Source organism: Homo sapiens, chromosome 10 (genome assembly GCF_000001405.40).
Source record: "Homo sapiens chromosome 10, GRCh38.p14 Primary Assembly".
Lineage (NCBI taxonomy): Eukaryota > Metazoa > Chordata > Mammalia > Primates > Hominidae > Homo > Homo sapiens.
The window spans coordinates 115,155,984-115,175,460 of NC_000010.11; the positions used below are offsets into that span (position 1 = coordinate 115,155,984).

Below are 19,477 nucleotides of genomic sequence, written 5' to 3' on the forward strand. Positions count from 1 at the left end.
AGACACCAATCAAAATGGATGGTGGCCATTGGACTAGAGTAAGATCTTGATGTGCCGTGTTGTGCCAGGCATTACCCCTCTAGTTATCTATTGTAGGGAGGTTTGAATTATCTCAAGTGAGGAGTCAGGGGAACAGGGACAGCAAGACTGATAACGTGCGATGCTGAGGTACATCTACTTACCAACAGTCATTGAAACTTTTATACTTTAACATGTGGAAAGACTGTAATCCCTGCATACCTAATTAATATTCAGTTTGTTTGTGGGTTGGTTGTATGGGGTGCTGGAGAAAGAGGCAACTTAAGAATGGCACCAAAGTTTTTGCCCTGAGCAACTGGATGAATGGAAGTGCCGTTTACTCAGCTGGCAAACACTGCTGAAGGAATTGGTTTGGGAGGAAACGATCAAGGTTTTAGTTTTATACATGTGAAGTTTGAGATGACCCTCTATAGATATCCAAGTGGAAATGTAAAGTAGTAGTTTGAATTCATGAGAGATTGTGGGGCTGGACATATACATTTGGGATATATCAGAGCACAATTCTACTCTGTATGATTATGTAGTAGCTTTTTCCCTTAAAAAATCTCTCAGCAGCCCGACACTAATGCTTAAAGTTACAGTGTTAGAAATTCATTTATACTCTTTGGTTTTTTAAAACTGTGCATAACCTGCGGAGAAGATTCTTTTTGAAATTGCACTATAAGGTGAATTTGTTTATTACACCCTTTAAAAAACAGCTGAGATATACTACCTTGAGAAATTGTCATACTGATTGAGAAAAGTAATGCAGAGAGAGTTATGGGGATATATTGCATGAGATACTAAAGTATGAAGTGGTAGAATAATTTTTATGGATATATTTTTATAAAAAAGGAGTCTTGCACATATAGTATGTTCTTATTCATAAGTGGGGGCTAAAAAAGTTGATGTCATGGAGGTAGAGTAGAATGATGGTTACCAGAGGCTGGGAAAGGTTTCGGGGAGAGAGGGATGACGAGAGGTTGGATAATGTATACAAAAATATAGTCAGACAGAGGTAATATGTTCTAGTACAATAACATAGTAGGGTGACTATAGTTAATAATTTATTATATATTTCATAGCTAGAATATTTGGAATGTTTACAACACAAATGTGTTTGAGGCAACAGATATCCTAATTACCTTGTTTTGGTCATTACACATTGTATACATGTATCAAAATATTACATGTAGACCATAAATGTGTATAATTGTTCAGTATCAGAAAAAAAATTTTAAAAAGTGGACTCTTGCTTAGATGTCCTTAAGTGTAGATATTAGTATTAGCTGTTTAATGGGTGGGGAAGTCTTTTTGTCGTTGTTTGTGTTTTAAATTAATATTCAGTTAATTAGTATACATTTTAAGTCATTTTGGTTATAGAATACAGAAAGCTTCAAATTAAGACATCTAATTTTTTTCTTAAATCTTTGAATTATATTTATAAATCTTGTCATTCTATTTATAAATGGATTAATTTAGAGTAAAATAAAGACAACATATAGATTGGGCTACAGACCTATAACATCCTGGAACTGCATTCCCTGCATTCTTTGCCTCCTTGCCTGTTCCTCTATCTTCAGATCCGGGACTGCAGCATCTTGCTTTGATAGTCACATTGCTTCCTTCTGCAGTCAAATCTCCCTCTCTTATAAGGACACCTGTAATTATATTTAGAGCCAATTTAGATAATTCACGATAATCTCTCCCAAATTTCAAAATCCTTAATTTAATACATCTGTAAAGTTCCTTTTGCCATATAAGGTAAAATCCAAAGCTTCTGGTGGTTAAGACCTGGATACCTTTGAGGGCTATTATTCAGTCCACTGGAAACTTGTTCTGCAGTATTTTGCTTTAATGCAGATTTGATAAATATATTGGTGATTTAAAAATGTACCCAATTTTCAAGATTTTTTTCATGCCAGTGTTCTCTATCAAACTCTTTTCCAAGTAATACCCACATATTACTTGGCTGCTTTCAACTCTGTGCCTTTGGGTGGTGGCCTGTTTTTAATGTTTTATTTAGAAATAATTTTAAAGTTTTAGAAAAGTTATTATACAAGAATAAGAATAGTACAAAGACTATCTGAATGTCCGTTTCCCAGATTCACCTATTAACATTTTACTCTATTTTCTTTGGTATAACTGACTTACATGTTAAAATAAATCTATATTTCCTTTTATGAAAATAGATACAACATTTATACCAATAGATGCATTATATATAATTTCTATATGATTTCATGTCTTTTCAGTTAAATTAGAGGTTGGCAAACTTTTCTGTAAAAGGCCAGGTAGTAAATACTTTTTCTTTGCAAGTTACATGGCTCTGTTGCAACCACTCAGCTCTGCTAAAGCAGCCATAGACAATACTTAACTGAATGAACATGGCTGTGTTTTAATAAAACTATTAAATGATTTCTAAGTTACTGTAATTAAATTAAAAAAGAGGTTCCTTTAATATCTCTGATTACTAAGGAATAGTTCACAGTCTTTTCTCACTCAGAAATAATAGTTTTCTATAGCTGATTTAAAATATTATCATTATCAAAGAGATAATCTGAGATACTTCCTAGTTTGTACCTGAAAAATACAGAGCCATACAATGTAAGCATTGAAAAAAATCTTGAAGATGAATCAATTAATACCTGGGTGAGTGAACACATGAAGACATGAAAACTGTATGGGTCAATATTTCTTAAATCAGACTCTGCTTGGGAGTTTTAAAATTTTGTTATTAAATGACAATCTAAAACTTTTTGATATAAGCAAATTGAAGATTAACTGCCTGATCTCATAATTGAGTAATGCCACTGTATTGTAATGCCAGCAGTTGTGTTGACAATTTAAAGTTGGGATTAAGTAGTATCCCTTTAATTACTGTAGGCTAAAAACAATACAACTAAAGTGTACTAATACTTTTGTGACAAGTGAAGGGTAAATGATTATATGCCATAGTATATGAATTTAAAAGATTTGTAAAAAGTAGGTTGAAGAAAAATGGTGGGAGAATTATGTTGTCAAAATAATGTAGGTGTGCTAAAATTATGTAAAAAAGGCATTATGAGAATTAATATCATTTTTAACTTGGGACCCATTATTTTAAACAAAACAATATTATCATATTCAGTAAATATTAGTTTTATAAATTTACTTATATATAATTTATAAATGTATGTTTGTTTTATGCTTATAAAAGAAATTTAAACATAGGAGTTTATGTCTAGTATTTGAGAATTTTTTAGTTTCATTAAAATTAAAATACTTTGTGAGCCCTAAAGTTTGATGAAAATATATTCCCTTTAGGAGAATTCCTTCTATTATGTTTGAGAAACACTGATGGGGAAACCAAGACTTATGAGTAACATCATGAATATGGAAAGGAAAAGGCTGTGTTTTCAACTTTATAGTATTTGAAATTATTCTGCACTAATTTAATAATTTTTATTTTATGATGCATAATTTTTTTTTCTTTTTGAGGACTCCACTGAAGCAAACTTTGGTTGTCCTTAATAATGCTAAAAAAAATGTAATCTTTTTTATGTTTGTTTAATAGTTAATAATTTTTAAACTTTAATTTTTAAATGCTTTTACTTCCACTATTTTAAAAAAATAAATATTTATTATAACCCTTGGTGGTAGATTATTATATCCATTTGTGTAGATGGAGGCTTGATGATGAAAGAGGTAAACATACTTCCCTGACAGAACTGATATTTGAGTACATTGTTTTCTATTTTAATACTCTTGTAGCATACTAAAATAAATCTGACATTTTATATTATTTAAATAATTCTTTAAAATTGTGAAATTTATTTGAACATCCAAGTCCGATTGTGAGTATATGACTTTTTTCACCTCTAAGCATTACATTTTCTGTGAGTATTATTCTTGTAAGTTATATTTCAGATAATTTATGTATATATTTGTTAATATGATAAACATTGAATTCTTAAATTCTCTTAATCCATATGTTGTATTTCTATAATCTGAGGGCTTTGTTTAATCTAGTGTGTTGTTTCATTTTTTTTTTAATAGGTCCTGATTGTTCTTTGAATGTTCCCTCTACTGAGTCTTACTGGATTCTGCCAAACGTTAAACCCTTCAGTCCTTCTGTAGGTCGGGCTTCACATAAAGCAGTTTTACACGGGAAATTTATGTGGGTGATTGGTGGATATACTTTTAACTACAGTTCTTTTCAAATGGTCCTAAAGTAAGTATTTATTTTCAGATTCTTGCTGTTTTTTAAGCTGGATTTTTATCCAAAATGTCTTTTTTTTTTAATTGTTGTCCGAGAGTAAAAGTGGTTATTTTTGTGGTAGTGTCTATTTGCTAGTGAGACTGATTTGTGAATACATGAACTCAGTATGTCCATAGCTGTCATTGCACATAGAAGTATGCTTCATGTAGAAATGTTATTACTTCTCTAGAGTACTTTTAATAAATTCTGAGTAAGAAAATATTAACTTCAAATACAGGCAGGCCTTTGCCTATATGGATAAAATGAATCAAATGAATTCATGCCACTTTTTTTTTTTAATGAAGTATAATCTCATATATAAAAATCCTCTCAATTTGTTCTGTAAATTTTAGTGTACCTGAACTTTACTTTGTATGTGCTTTACAAACTTTCATTGGGAGAACAGTTCTAGTATTATGAGAGAGATGATTGATTTACTGTTGGCTCAATAGAGATTGTTCTCTGCATGATTGGATAAGGGGAATCATATGGATGGCAGCTTTATCTGATTTCTTTTTCAGCTAATGATTGTATTTTATGAACTGTTTAGTAACAATACAAAAGGAAATAGGGAGAATCATTTGATTTTTAATGTTGCTTCCAGGGGTAGTGTTCATATTATGTAATAACTGGTACAGCTTGGGCATCAAACAATCAGAACTTGCCCTGGACAGTATGGCATAATGGTGTATACACAATAGAATTGCCAGATTTAGCAGATAAATATACAGGATACCCAGTTAAACTTGAATTTCAGATAAAAAACAAGTACATTTTTAGTATAAGAAGGCCCTTTTGCTGTATATATATATATTTTTTACAAATTTTGCATGGGTCATTCTTTAACAAAAAATTGTTTGTTGTTTATCTGAATTCAAATTTAACTGGGTATCTTGTATTTTATCTGCCAACCCTAACCACTGAATATATTAACCCTCATAATTAGGAAGATTTCAGAAATTCTGTAAGAGGAGATTGCTTTAAAACTATGATTGAATGCGACTGAAATTAAATTAGAAAATCGAATAAATTCTGGAGAGAAGGAGGGAGTTTTATGTAAGTATTTAAGTGGCAAATTAGAATTTTTTAACATGAAGAATAAAATACAGAAGGAAGAATTGAAAGAGAGTTGGTGGGATTAAAATGAATTGTTAAGATAAAAACCTGGAGAAATAATGATATTTAAATGTGAAAATTAAAAGGAAATTAACTATGTTTAAAGAAAATGAGAAGTCTATGAAAGTAGAGTCGAACTTTGAATTAAATTGTGATATTTCCAAAGTCGAGTTTGTAAGACAAAGAGCAACATTGTCAACAAGGAAGTTTGTAAATTTTAAGTTCATGTTCTTTGCAAGATGAGTAGCATATCAAAAATTAAATGATGAATATTATTTGCTATTCTTTTAAATTTGCATATTTTCCATTGGAACCAGATAAACTATTTAAGCCAACTTTTTTTTGTCTGAAATCTGAGTATTTTGGTTACAGTGTTTATATAAACAAATGAGGGATTAGAGTAGAATAATTGTGTTGCTGTTTTCACAGGTTAGAGAATACTTTTCATCATTCTGAATGTAGTTCAATTGTAGGTAAGGATAACAGCTTTCAGAAGTGATAGGATAAGTCATAACTTGATTTAATCATCTTCTATAGTGGAATTTAATTGGGGTGGAAATGTTACATTTTAAGACAAATTATTCACTAAATATAAAAGCTCTGTGTTAGTGTCTATTAAATTAGAAAGACTTTTACAGAATATATATACATTAACATTAATGAAAATTAACATGTATTCATGAGGATAGCAAACTTTTGAAAACACTACGTGCTTGTTTCTTGGGATATATCATTGGATATAACAAATGCCCGTGTCTTTGTAAAGTTAGGGAGGAAAGGCTGGCAATGACAAAAAAAAAACACTATTACCAAAGTAAATTATAGACATGAACATATATACATATAGAGACAGATGGGATGGATGGATGGATAGATATAGATAGATAGTAGGAGTAGGTAAATCAGGAGTGCCAAAGAAGAGGGAGTTGCAATTATAAATGTAATAGTTAAGGTAGGCTTCATAACAAAGGTGAGAACTGAGCAAAAACTTGAAGGAGATCAGAGGATTGCAGTTATTTGTAGGCGCAGAAAAGAGCCAGATCAAAGACTTAAGATAGGAACTCCTTGAGGTGTTTGAGGAGCAACAACCAGGCCCATGCAATTTGCATGGAATATATGAGAGGGATACATTAAATTAGAGTGATAACAGAGGAGAGAGACAGATCATGTAGGATGTTGTAGATCTTTTGGGAGTCATGGGAGGGTTTTGAGCATGTGTTGATCCATATTTTAAAAGTGTTACCATGGCGGTTTATTGATGATATACTGGGGATTAGGAGGAAGATTAGAAACGGGATTTGAGTTAAGATGAAATTATCAAGGGAATGCATTCTAGATAGAGAAAAGGACCGGGAACTGAGCCTGAGGCACCATATCACTAAGAGGTTGTGGGGAACAGGGGAAGCCATCAAAGGAGACTGAAAAAGAATGACTGGTGAGATAGGAAAACCTGGAGTACAGTATCTTCAAAGGCAAGAAAAGGCATTATGTGAGGATTAAGGAGTAATTAATAATGTCAAATGCTGACGATTATCCAGGTCAAGGAAAATGAAGACTGAAAACTGGTCATGGATTTAGCATGAGGAAATTGACCATAACAAAAGCAGTTTTAGTGGAGGGGAGGGGTTAAAAGCGTGTCTAGAGTTAGTTTAAGAGAGAATGGAAAGTGGGGTGGGGATGGGGGTAATAAAGAAATGGGGGAGTAGCTTAAGGGACAGTGTGGTCAAGGGGTTTTTCTTTTATTATTAATGGTTTATAACACCATGTTTGTGTGCTGATGGCAAAGATCTAGTAAGACAAAATATGGTGATGTAGGAAAGAGATCTCGTGTGCAAGGAAGAAGAATCACTTGTTATTCTTCGGCTTATCAAACTGCAGAATAGGGGCTCAGGGCCTGGAAACTAAGAATTTTTTCTTAGCGTTTTTAGTTTTTGCTTTTTTTCTTTTATTTGATTATTTTATTTTTTCTTTTATTTCTTTTATTTTTTCTTTTATTTTCTTGTTTTATTTTATTTGCTTTTTTCTTTTATTTCTTTTTATCTGTCACCCAGGCTGGAGTGCAGTGGCGTGATCATGGCTCACTGCAGCCTTGAGCTTCTGGGCCCAGGCGATCCTTCCACCTCAGCCTCCTGAGTAGCTGGGATTATAGGCATGCAACACTATGCCTGGCTAATTTTTAAATTTTTTTGTAGAGGCGGGGTCTCCCTATATTGCCCTGGCTAGTCTCTTAACTCCAGTGCTCAAGTGATCCTCCCACCTCGGCTTCTCAAAGTGCTGGGATTTCAGGTGTGAGCTACCGTGCCTGGCCTGGATTTTGTACTTTTAATGGGCTGTAAAAAAATGAAGAATATGTGAGACCATTGTGGCCCACAAAGCCTAAAATATTTACTGTCTGGCCCTTTACAGAAATAGTTTGTACAGCCCTAATTTATGATAACTTGGAAAGCAGTGTGTTGGCTGCAGATACTGGTAGATGGGTGGACTAGTGGTGTGAATCTGTGGAAGTTATGTTCTGATTATGTTTCCTCGTTTGTATCATACACATTTATCTTACAATTCCAAGGTAGGAAATAAGTTAAACAATGCTGCAAACAAATTTGGTAACCCTTACCTTTCTTGTGAAGGGGCACTTGGGCACTTCCTTTCCTTTCCTAATTCATTGGAGGAAGAAAGAGAAGTTGGGAAGATAACAATTGATAGCAAGCTTCTTAAAACAGGCTCCTGTTTCTTGGCTGGATGCTTCCTTTTGTATATTTTAGCAAATGGAGGAAATTTGAGCATAGAGTATAAGCATTTGGGATTTATAATTTGGGACTTCAGTTTTCATATGTATTACACCAGTAGAAAAAAATACGAATTTTCTTTTCATGTTACATAATCCAACAGTGACTTATTTTTATAGAAGCTTCTCTACTGCCAAATTCATTTTATACAGTCTTAAAAAATTATCAGTAAACAAGCTATATTTGTGCATAGGAAATAAATGCTTATTGGTTAATTTATATAATGCTAAGATAAGTGTGTGGGTATGTAAAGTAGCACAGTCATTATGGTAAACAGTGCGGAGGTTCCTCAAACTGAAAATAGAATTACTATATGATCCAGCAAACCCACTGCTAGATATGTAGCCAAAAGAAAGTAAATCAGTATATCAAAGCGATATCTGCACTCTCAGATTTATTGCAGCACTATTTACAATAGCCATAATATGGACTCAACATGTGTCCATCAACTGATAAATTGATAAAGAAAATGTGGTATATATACACAATGGAGTATTGTTTAGTCCCCCTAAAATGAAATCATGTCATTTGCAGCAATATGGATGGAACAGGAAGTCATTATAAGTGAAATAAACCAGGCACAGAGAGACAAATATTGCATGTCTTCACTCAAATGTCAGAGCTATAAAAGTTGATTTCATATAGGTGGAGAGTAGAATGGTGGCTACCACAGCATGAGAAGAGAAGCAGGGAGAAGGGGACAAAGAGAAGTTGGTTAATGAGTGCCAAAAAGCAATTAGATAGAAGGAATAAGTTGTAGTATTTGATAGTAAAGTAGGGAAATTATAGTTAACAATTTATTGTATATTTCAAAATAGCTAGAAGAGAAGAAATGTTATGCTCCCAACACAAAGAAGAGATAAGTGTTTGAGGTAATAGATATTCTAATTACCTTGATTTGATCATTACACATTCTATACATATATCAAAATACCATGTGTATACCATATATGTACAACTTAAATATCAATAAAAAACTTATAAGTATCAGGCCAACTAAAAAAAAGGAATAAAAATAAATACCTAAAACAAAATGGAGAGAATTTTCATCTGTTTCCAAGAAGGAAACCTGGCTTAAAAAAAAATTAAAAAATACAGTCAAATCACTATTGTTTAGCTTAATCAATTGATGGAAATTATTAAAGGCAATTGGACAATTAATTCCAGTAATAAATATCCTAATCAAGTTAATGTATATTATACATTCAGGAGACTGAATCCTAATTTAGTGTAGGTATATCTTGAATGAGTCTTTATTAGAAATTTCTAATATGGCACATGAAATTATGAGTTTATTAGTTGTAACTCTTTTTGAATTTAATGAATACTTGGACACAAGTGAATAAAAAGCACGTGAAAATTAAAAAAACAAAAATGAATCTTAGCTTATGAAGTTATTTTCTTTTCTTGCTTTTAGTTACAATTTAGAAAGCAGTATATGGAATGTAGGAACTCCATCAAGGGGACCTCTCCAGAGATATGGACACTCTCTTGCTTTATATCAGGTATGGCTCCTGCTTTTTAAATTTTAATCAGATTTTGTTTTTGATAGTTTACCACAGGCTAAAAAATACTAAATCTCAGATTTATTTCAAATATTTAATGAGAACAATAGATTATATGGATCATGATAACTTGAGATACCACATACTCTTATGCTTTTAGTAAAAGAATAGATTTTAGAACAATCCCCCACATGACATGTAAAGAAATGAAGATTGAGTTTTTGTCTATTTATGCCTAGTCAATCACTTAAAAAAATTATGGCGAAATACATGTAACATAAAATTTACCATTTTAACTATTTTTAAGTATAGAGTTCAGTGGCATTAAGTACATTGACATTGCTGTGTAACCATGGCTACCATTATCTTCAGAACATTTTTCATCGGGCAAAACTGAAGCAATAACTTCTCATTCCCCTCTTCCCTTATCCTCTTGAAACCACCAATCTACTTTTCTGTCTCTGTGAATTTAACTGCTCTAGGTACCTCATGTAAATGGGATTGTACATTATTTGTCCTTTTATGACTGATTTGTGTCCCTTAGCACACTATCTTCAAGGATCATCCATGTTGTATCATGTGTCAGAATGTCCTTCCTTTTGAAGCTGAGTAAATATTCCATTATATGTATATACCACATTTTGTTTATCCATCCATCTGTTGATGGACACTTAGATAGCTTCCATCTTTTGGCCATTGTGAATAATGTTTCTATGAACATGTGTGTACAACTATCTGAGTCTCTGTTTTCATTTTTTTTTGGTGTATACCCAGAAGTGGAATTGCTAAATCGTATGGTAATTCTATGTTTAATTTTTTTTTTTTTTAGCACTGCCATAGTGTTTTCCACTATGGCTGCACCATTTTACATTTCCACCAGCAGTGCACAAGGGTTCCAGTTTGTCCACAGCCTTGTCAACACTTGTTATTTTCTGTTTTTGTTTTTTTGATAATTGACCTAATGAGTATCTCACTGTGATTTTGATTTGCATTTCTCTAATGATTAATGATGTTAAATATCTTTTCAAGTGCTTATTGGCTATTTGTATATCCTCTTTGGAGAAATGTCTATTCAGGTCTTTAGCCAGTTTTGAATTGGGTTGTTTTGTTTGGTTGTTGAGTTGGAGGAGCTCTTTATATATTATGGTATTAACACCTTATCAGAATATGATTTCCAGATATTTTCCCCCTTTATGGGCTGTCTTTTCACTTTGTTGAGAGTGTCCTTTGATGCACAGAATTTTTAATTTTAGTTTAATTTAATTTTAATTTTAATTTATTTTTTCTTTTGTTACTTATGCTTTTGTGTCATATGCAAGAAATCATTGCTAGATCCAATGTCATGAAGCTTTTCCTCTATATTTTCTCATAAGAGTTTTAAAGTTTTAGTTCTTAGGTTTAAGTTTTTGTTGCATTTTGAGTTAATTGTGTCTGATGTAAGGGTCCATTTTCATTCCTTTGCACGTGGATAGCCAGTTTCCCCAACATCGTTTGTTAAAAAAGAAACTGTCTTTTTCCCATTAAATGGTCTTGGCACCCTAGCTGAAAGTCCTTTGACCATGTATATGAGGGTTTTTTTTTTCTGGACTCTCTATTTTATTCTATTGATCTATATGTCTGTCTTTATGCTAGTACCGTACTATTTAGATTACTGTAGCTTTTTAATAAGTTTTGAAGTTAAGAAGTGTGATACTTCCTACTTTGTTTTTATTTCTCAAGATTGTTTTGGCTATTCAGGGTCCCTTGAAAGTCTATATGAATTTTAGGATTAAGTCTTCTATTTCTGCAAAAATGTTGGGGTTTTGACAGGGATTGTATTGACATTAGTTATTTTTATGTATTTGTGGGATTCATAAATTTAGCATGATTAAAATGACAGGACACTTGTTTGGTTTTCATTTTGAATCAACAAAATTTCATGTATTTTGTGGCCTTTGGCTAGGCTGTCTAAATATGAATTTATATGTTTTCTGTGCTGTTGTTAAAAAAAATTGGAAAGCATGGGAGCAGTATAAAGAACAAACTACCACCTGTTTATCCATGCATTTGTGTGTTTTAAAAGTAAAATAAAAGTATTTCTATGTATGAAAACATATACCTACATTTTTTGCCTTGTTTTATTTTTTCTTTATTTCCCTTTTTGTAACAGCCTTACTGAGATATAATTGATATACCATACATTTCACTCATTTAAAGTGTACAATTCAGTGGTTTTTAGTATATTCAGAGTTGTGCAACCATCTATTGCAGATTTATGTAAGATTACAGAGTTGTGTAATCACTTTTAGAATACTTTCATTACTTCACAAAGAAACTTTGTATCCTTTCGGTATCACCCCACACTTCCTCGTCTTCCCTAGCCTTAAGCAGTCACAAAGCTACTTTCTTTCTCTATATATTGGTCCATGCTGGACATTTCATATAAATGAAGTCATATACTATGTATGTTATGACTACCATATTTCACTTAGCATAATTTCAAGGTTTATCCATGTTTTAGAATGTATCAGTACTTCTTCATTCCTTTTTATGGCTAAATAATATTACATTTTATGGAAATATACCGTGTTGTTTATTCATCGGTTGAGGACATTTGAGTTGTTTCCACCTTTTGGCTATTATGAATAATGCTACTAACAACATTGCTGTTTAAGATTTTGTCTGGACATATGTTTTCATTTCTTTTGGGTATATACATAGGGGTGGACTTACTGGGTCAAATTCACTTTTTGAAGAACTGACAGAATGTTTTCCAAAGTTGCTGCATCATTTTACATTCCCACCAGCCATGTATGAGGGTTTCTATTTCTATACATCCTTGCCAACACTTATTAGTATCTGCCTTTTTGATTATTGCCATCCTAGTGGGTTGAAGTATTATCTCATTGTGGTTTTGATTTGTATTTCCCTGTTAACTAATGATGTTGAGCATCTTTTTGTGTGCTTTTGGCCATTTGTATATTGTCTTTGGAGAAATGTCTATTCAAGTCCTTTGCTTATTTTAAAATTAAGTTGTCCTTTTATTATTGAGTTGTAAGAATTCTTCATATGTTCTAGATACAAGCCATTATCAGGTAAATAATTTGCAAATATTTTCACCCATTTCGTGTGCTGTTTTCACTTTCTTGATGTTATCTTTTTAAACACAAAAAATTGGACTTTATCTTGATAAAGTCCAATTTAACTTTTTTTCCTTTTATTGCTTGTGATTTGGTGTCATATTTAATAATTCATTGCCAAATCTCAGGTCATAAAGACTTAACCCAATTTTTTTTTTCTTTTAAGAGTTTTATAGTTTTGATTCTTGCATTTAGTTCTTTGACCTATTTTGAGTTAAGTTTTGTATATAGTATGCAGTAAGGGTGCAAGTTCTTTTTTTTTTTTTTTTGCATGTGACTATCCAGTTCTCCTAGCACCATTTGTTCACAAGACATTTTCTTTTGTCTTTGAATGGTCTTGGTACTCTTGTCAAAAATCAATTGGCCATAGATGTGTGGGTTTATTTCTGGACTCTCAGTTCTATTCCATTGATTTATCCCAGTATCACTCTGTTTTGATTACTTTTTTTTTTTTTTTTTTGAGACAGAGTCTTGCTCTGTCACCCAGGCTGGAGTGCAGTAGTGTAATCTTGGCTCACTGCAACCTCCACTTCCTGGGTTCAAGCGATTGTCCTGCCTCAGCCTCCTGAGTAGCTGGGATTACAGGCGCCTGCCACCATGCCCAGCTAATTTTTTTATAGTTTTAGTAGAGATGGGGTTTCACCATGTTGGCCAGGCTGGTTTTGAACTCCTGACCTCAAGTGATCCACTCGCCTCGGACTTTCAAAGTGCTGGGATTACAGTCATGAGCCACCATGCCCAACCTATCTTGATTACTTTTGCTTTGCAGTAAGTTTTTGAGAAGTGGGAGTACTCCAGTTTTGTTCTTTTACAAGATTGTTCTGATGTTCTGCATCCCTTGCAATTTCATATGAATTTTGGAATCAATTTGTCAGTTTCTACAAAGAAGCCAGCTGAGATTTTGATAGGGATCATGTTGAATCTGTAGATCAATTTGGAGAGTATTATCCTCTTAATCAATTTGGAGAGTATTATCTTAACAATGTTAAGTCTTCAGACTCATAAACATGGGATGTCTTTTCATTTATTTATATCTTTTAAAAATTTATTTAAACAATGTTTTGTAATTTTCAGAGTATAAGGTTTGGACTTCCTTTATTAAATTTATTCATAAGTATTTTATTCTTTTAGATGCTTTTGTCAATGTAATTATTTTCCCAATTTCATTTTTGGGGTGTTCATTACAAGTGTATGGAAATACAATTTACTTTTTGTACATTGATCTTATGTTCTGTAATATTGCTGATTCATTTATTAGCTCTAAGTGCTTTTTAAAAAAATTTTTAGGACTTTCTATATACCAGATTGCATCATCTGCAAATAGAAATATTTTACTTCTTCTTTCCAATCTGGATGTCTTTATTTAGTTTTTGCTCTAGCTGGAACATCCACTACAATGTTGAATATAAGTGGCAAAAGCAGGCATGCTTATCTTGTTCCTGACCTTAGGGAAATGTATCTAGTCTTTCACTGTTAGGTATAATGTTAGCTGTGAGTTTCCTTAAATATCTTTTGTCAGGTTGGAAAAATTTTTTTCTATTTCTAGTTTGTTGAAATAATGATAATTTACATCATTTATGTACCATTTATTTCCATCATATGCATTTGAAATAATTTGTATAATTTAAAAGTTCTACAAGGATTTACCAAAGGTGAACTGAAGGCATGTGGTGTCTGTCTATAGCCATTAGAAATGGTAACAGAGGTGTACTCTACATGATGCACAAATGTGATATGTCTTTTTGGTGAAGAGCACGTGATGAAAACAGTAAATAACTGAGAATAGCACAAAGCTACTAGGGACTCAGATGATTCAAATATTGAAGACTATGAGTAATATTAATCAGCAACTTAGTTTGTTATCTTCAGTTATATGGGAGGAGTACATTATTCTTTGTTATAGGACTACCTCACCCTTAAATTGTAAGTTCTTTATTAGCTTATTGCATTTTCCATTCTTAAAGCAGTAGTTTAGTGTTCTCTTACTGTATGACAATTAAAAGTATACTTAATTGACTACATAATGTGATAGTTAAAAAATATATTTAAAGTAGCTTTTTGAAAGCTTTGCTGTTTCCCCCCCTTTTTGTATATAAAAGCATTAGTTGTCATTATTCATGTGTTCTCATTACTTTTTACAAATGAGAACAATGCCTTATGCATGTTGTGAACAATTACTAAAATTTTATGTAAATTTAACCTTTATTTTTAATTAATATGTGTTAAGATATAACATTATTTTATCTATTAATATATGTATTTTAATTTACAGGAAAACATCTTTATGTATGGAGGCAGAATTGAAACAAATGATGGCAATGTCACAGATGAATTATGGGTTTTTAACATACATAGTCAGTCATGGAGTACAAAAACTCCTACTGTTCTTGGACATGGTCAGCAGTATGCTGTGGAGGGACATTCAGCACATATTATGGAGTTGGATAGTAGAGATGTTGTCATGATCATAATATTTGGATATTCTGCAATATATGGTTATACAAGCAGCATACAGGAATACCATATCTGTGAGTTACTTAAAAATTGTAATTTCTTTATTGATTGGGAATGTTTTTCTCTTTAATAAAATCTTCATATGAATTTAGTCAAAATGGTGAGTTATTTGAGATTGAAATTATAAGCTGATAATTAATAATTTTTAATATAAGCTTTTTTGATTATGTTAGATTTTGTCCTTTAATATTTAAGCTTACCTTTTTAACCAAATGAGGGGAAATATTACTTAATAGTCTCATTTTCTAAGATTTGTGAATTTTTTAAAAAAATATGTGAAATTCCAGTAGGTGGTGCTATTTCTTTGGATTTTATTTATGAACGAAGTACTGAAACTATCCCAGTCTCTTTACTATGCATTGCATGGTTTCAGGATTTTTTATTTTTTAGCATTCTATTTCTAATCTTACTGCTATATCTTTATGTATGTATTACTTCTTTAAAGTCAGCTTCTCAAGGATAGTCTGCTGGCTTCTATAAGAGATTATTATCTGTTATGTGAAGGTGAAGGTGTCTAGGGCAATCTACATGTGAGTTTTTGTACTATACCTTTACTCCATTTTGTTTTTCTGGTACTTCATTTTTTTGAATTATTTATAACATTTTTAAAACAGTGGTAACCTTCTTTATTGTTTTTAGTTTGTTTACAAATATATGCCCTATGGTGGTTATTCAGATTCAAGAAAATAATTCTTTTCTGGCTCTGGCCAGTATGATGAACTCAAATTCTTGGCTCTTTTGTGTATGGACAACTATATATACAACTATTTAGAGTCCTTGTGCAGTCTTAATGAGAAAACTCATTTGCAGACCACCATTAGCAAGAGAGTACTTGTATGCTCAGAGGAAGACTCCCCTTCGAAATACTCCACTGTTTCCCTTGCAGTCCTTTCAAGTGATGGCTGTTTTTGTTTACATATTCTCAGTACAGCTGGGTCAAAAGTGGGTTACATATCCCCTTTACTTCTTATTGCCATTTCCACTCTATTCTCAATTCCTCCTCCTTTAAATTGCCTGGCTTTGACTCTTACATCATCAGAATATATCACCTATTACTTCACCTTCCTGCACTCATCCTTTGCTCTCAGATGGCTGTGTTTTATTTCTTGAGGAATTTAGCTTCTGGCTTACTGTCACTGTGTCCAGAATACATAAGGCAAATATTTTTATGTTGTAAATATGCACTTAAGTACTTCTCCTACCTGGCCTGTCAATTTCTTGATCTACCAAAGATTTTGTTTTCCATCCTCCTTGAGCCACTCTCTCCATTGTTACGTTCTAGACCTTGTTATTCCAGTACAATGAGTCCATAATTTCCATATGAAATATCTTACTTTTCAAGTCCCACTGATCTCTCCAGCTTACTGTTTCTAATGCCCACACTCTGACAATTCTTTGACCTTACCAGAGCCTTTAGTCTGTTGAGACTATCAGTTTTTCCACTATCTCTCACTCTTTTTTTGTCCATATTTCTAACCCTACCTTTTTAATCCATACTTCTAGCCCTACCCATACTTCTAAACGTACCTAGCTTTAAATTTCATAATTACTGTTCTCAAGTTGTTTTTTTTTTTTTATGATATCCGGTACTTACTCAGCTGTAAGTTTATAATTACTCATGTCAAGTTGGCCCTTAATGACATCTGGAACTTCTGCCAGTGTAGCTTGGTCTCGCTCCCAGCTCTCCTGGATGACTATTTCATACCTTTTCCTCTCTCCTCAAGTTTCAAACACTTCCTTCTCTATCATCACTCGCAATTGATGACCTTAGTTCTTATTTTACTGAGAAAACAGAAGTAATCAGGAGAGAATGGCTATTGATGAGAACACGTTGGAGGGTGATGGTTAATAAGCAATGCTACATTGAATAAGCTTGCTTACATACATTATTGTCATAACAAACTCATGACAACGTTGAGGCAGATGTGTGGCTGAGTTATTCCAACTTTTGAAATGGGCCCAGGAGTTTTTAAGCAAGAGTTAACAGATGTTCTATGTAGAAGGGCAGTTTTCTTTTCTGATTTTGTTATTAATTTTTGGTTTTATTATAGTGCTCAGGAAATGTTGGTCTTATTTCTACTTTTTAAATTTATTGAAATTTTCTTTGTGCCTCAGTTTTCACAAATATTTGATAGGCACTTGAGAAGAAGATAAATCCAATAATATCAAGGTATGGAGTTTGATATTATTTATTTATAAAATCGACTTTATTGATTATATTGTTTAGGCCTTCTGTTACTGACTTAGTATTTTTTGTTCTTGATTTATCTTGCTGTGAAAGTGGAAGTAAAATTTTAAAGTGTTAGTGTATTTTTCATATTTCTCCTTATATATTCTGGAATTTATGTTTTATAGAAGTTGCTATTACAAATATTAATAATTGTTATGTGCTTATTGTAAATTGTATTACTTACTATTATAAAGTGGTTTGTTTAATGTTTTCTTGACCTGAATTCTACCTCATCTGTCGTTAATATTGCCCTTGTTTTGTTTTTTTGGTCAGTCTTTTCCTAGTATACCTTTGCTCATCCCTTTATTGTTATTATTGTTTAGTGTTTTAGAATCACTTTAAAAAAAATGTATTTCTTGCATACGAGAGAGTTGAATTTTGCTTTGTGATTCCTGTTTTTTTTTTTGTAAATTTTCTGTACATGTCTTGTATTTTCAAAAAGTCATTCTTGCTTTTTTGTTGATTTGTTTTTAATTATAGCTCTTCTCACGTTTAGGGCCCTCCTTCCCCTTAACTTTATTTTATTTTTTTGTGGGGATGGGTGTGGTAAGTTTTGAGATCTGCTTCCATTAGTTTCCTCTATGCTACTTGTTTCTCATTGCCCTTTCAGCATTTTTGTGGCTGCTTCTGTTTAGCTGTTTTGGTTTCACTTGATTTTTGTACGTTCATACCTAATCTAGACTTTATGAGGAATTTTTTTTTTACCCTCGTAATTTCTCTGGAAATGTAATTTTCTTTTCCTTTCACTTCATCTACTTTCCCCATGTTTTCCTTTTGTTTTCTATTTCTTTTCCAGGGAGAATGGGGGAGATTCAGAACTAAACTGTTACCACATTTGTCCTTGAAACACAGGTTTTGACTTTTGAAATTTTAAAATGAGTACTTAACTTAGTCTAAAGTTAAGCAATACTCTTATTCTTTGATCAACCTCCAATTTATAGGATACAGTTTTCCACTGTTTTAGTTATTTTTGTTTTGTTTCAAACACAATGATAATTATATCATTTTATAATATAAATAAATTAAAAATAAACAGTAAGTATATCATTTATTTACAGGGGTCAGCAAAAGGCATCTATAAATGACCAGATAGTAAATATCTTAGGCTTTGTTGGTCTTACAGTCTCTGTCACAACTAATTAACTCTGCCTTGTAGCCTGAAAGTTGCCATAGACAATAGATAAACAAATGGGCATGGTTGTGTTCAATAAAAATTTATTTACAAAAACAGGTGGTGGGCTAGATTTAGCCTTTGGGCCTTACTTTGCCTACACTTGCTCTTAAGAGAAAGAGTATGCTTCTAGGGCCCTAGTAACCCTGATCCAACTTAAATTAAAATTTGGCATATAGTTTTTTTTTGGACATTATATATAGGGAAAATTCATGCCCCAAAGTAGCCTGATATCTAGTAAATGGCCCAAAGTTCCCAGGGGGAATAGTTGTTTCGTATATGTGGAACCAAGGCTGAAATAGATGCTATCTATCTGCCTCCACGGAGCATATTTTTAAAAACTCACTTTTTCATTGAGGATGTACACTTTCAATGATCTTGACTTTACATAGATACTCTCTAATCTTATACCTACATGGGTCCACCTTCAATGTTGGCCATTAAAATGGAATCTCTAGGCCACCTGATTAGTATATGTCATCCTTACTGAATATAGTTTATAATTCACAGTTGGCAGAATATATTTCGTGTGCTTCATCGTTTCCTTTATTGAACGTTTGTCCCACTCAGCCATCAGACATAATGGTGGTTATGCTTTCCAAGGATGGCTAGGAAAGTACTATGGGTTTATTCTGATCAACTATTAGTGATAAATATTGATATAGGTTGTTAGCTGATATATTAATCTCCTGGTAGGTTTTTGTTTGATTTGGGATAATCTGATTACAGAATGCCAATTTTGTTTTAGATAATCTAAACATATTTTTATATTGAGTTTCTT

At 32.4% G+C, this 19,477-nt stretch overlaps 1 protein-coding gene across 11 annotated transcripts in view; it reads left to right on the forward strand.

Annotated features, from left to right (window-relative positions):
• ATRNL1 (attractin like 1) overlaps positions 1–19,477 on the forward strand; it is an 855,635-nt gene that overhangs the window by 62,619 nt on the left and 773,539 nt on the right. For 8 of the 11 annotated variants that reach the window (NM_207303.4, XM_011539587.2, XM_011539588.3 and 5 more), the window contains exons 6-8: positions 4,057–4,231; positions 9,575–9,662; positions 15,054–15,309. In NM_207303.4, coding sequence (NP_997186.1) covers positions 4,057–4,231; positions 9,575–9,662; positions 15,054–15,309 — 519 coding nt within the window. Of the gene's footprint in view, positions 1–4,056; positions 4,232–9,574; positions 9,663–15,053; positions 15,387–19,477 lie in introns of those variants that run through there. The other 3 variants (NR_074088.3, NM_001276282.4, XM_047424989.1) reach the window with 2 other exon arrangements.